Source organism: Homo sapiens, chromosome 6, assembly GCF_000001405.40.
Source record: "Homo sapiens chromosome 6, GRCh38.p14 Primary Assembly".
In the NCBI taxonomy this organism is placed as follows: Eukaryota; Metazoa; Chordata; class Mammalia; order Primates; family Hominidae; genus Homo; species Homo sapiens.
Window position 1 is genome coordinate 144,976,644 of NC_000006.12, and position 1,558 is coordinate 144,978,201.

The 1,558-nt window shown below is 46.9% G+C and overlaps 1 annotated feature.

Annotated features, from left to right (window-relative positions):
- Positions 314-941: an enhancer, noted in NCBI's record as "NANOG-H3K27ac-H3K4me1 hESC enhancer chr6:145298093-145298720 (GRCh37/hg19 assembly coordinates)". NCBI's record gives its function as "activates a minimal SCP1, AML or CMV promoter by ChIP-STARR-seq in primed H9 embryonic stem cells {active_cell/tissue: H9 hESC(primed)}" and the evidence as "EXISTENCE:reporter gene assay evidence [ECO:0000049][PMID:30033119]".

The following is a 1,558-nucleotide window of genomic DNA, read 5'->3' on the forward strand; positions in this document are numbered from 1 at the left end:
TTGCAATGGGTTAGAACATGCTCCTTTAGCTCGGATTAGTTTGTTATTACTGATCTTCTGAAGCCTACTTCTGTCAGTTCATCAAACTCATTCTCTGTCCAGTTTTGTTCCCTTGCTGGCAAGGAGCTGTGATCCTTTGGAGGAGAAGAGGTGCTCTGTTTTTTGGAATTTTCAGCTTTTCTGCTCTGGTTTCTCCCCATCTTTGTGATTTTATCCACCTTTAGTCTTTGATATTGGTGATCTACAGATGGGGTTTTGGTGTGGATGTCTTTTTTGTTGATGTTGATGCTATTCCTTTCTGTTTGTTAGTTTTGCTTCAAACAGTCAGACCCCTCAGCTGCAGGTCTGTTGGAGTTTGCTGGACATCCACTCCAGACCCTGTTTGCCTGGATTTGACAAGCGGAGGCTGCAGAACAGCAAATATTGCTGCCTGATCCTTCCTCTGGAAGCTTCGTCTCAGAGGGGCACCTGCCTGTTTGAGGTGTCTGTTGGCCCCTACTGGGAGGTGTTTCCCAGTTAGGCGACACTGGGGTCAGGGACCCACTTGAGGAGACTGTCTGTCCATTCTCTGAGTTCGAACACCATGCTGAGAGAACCACCTCTCTCTTCAGAGCTGTCAGACAGGGACATTTAAGTTTGCAGAAGCTGTCTGCTGCCTTTTGTTCTACTATGCCCTGCCCCCAGAGGTAAAATCTATAGAAGCAGTAGACTGTGCTGAGCTGCAGTGGGCTCCACCCAGTTTCTGCTTCCCGGTCTCTTTGTTTATACTGTGAGCTACTCAAGCCTCAGCAATGGTGGACGCCCCTCCCCCCATCAAGCTTCAGTGTGGCAGGTTGATCTCAGACTGCTATGCTAGCAGCGAGCAAGGCTCCGTGGGCATGGGACCTGCCAAGCCAGGTGCAGGAGGGTATCTCCTGGTCTGCCGGTTGCTAAGACTGTGGGAAAAGTGCAGTATTTGGTCAGGAGTGTACCATTTCTCCAGGTGCAGTCTGTCACAGCTTCCCTTGGCTAGGAAAGGGAAATCCCCTGACCCCTTGTGCTTCCTGGGTGAGACAACGCCTTGCCCTGCTTTGGCTCACCCTCCGTGAGCTGCACCCACTGTCCAACCACTCCTAATGAGATGAACAAGGTACCTCAGTTGGAAAAGCAGAAATCATCCTTATTCTGTGTCGATCTTGCTGGGAGCTGCAGACTGGAGCTGTTCCTATTTGGCCATCTTGGCAGACATTTCTTAAAAGAAGACATACATGTGGCCAACAAGTATATGAAAAAAAGCTCAACATCACTGATCATTAGAGAAATGCAAATCAAAACCACAATGATATACCATCTCACACCAGTCAGAATGGCTACTAATAAAAAGTCAAAAATAAGAGATGCTGGCAAGGTTGTGGAGAAAAAGAAATGCTTCTACACTGTTGGTGAGAGTGTTAATTAATTCAACCATTGTGGAAGACAGTGTGGTGTTTCTTCAAAAACCTGAAGACAGAAATACCATTCAACCCAGCAATCCCATTACCTGGTATATACCCAAAGAAATATAAATCATCCTATTATA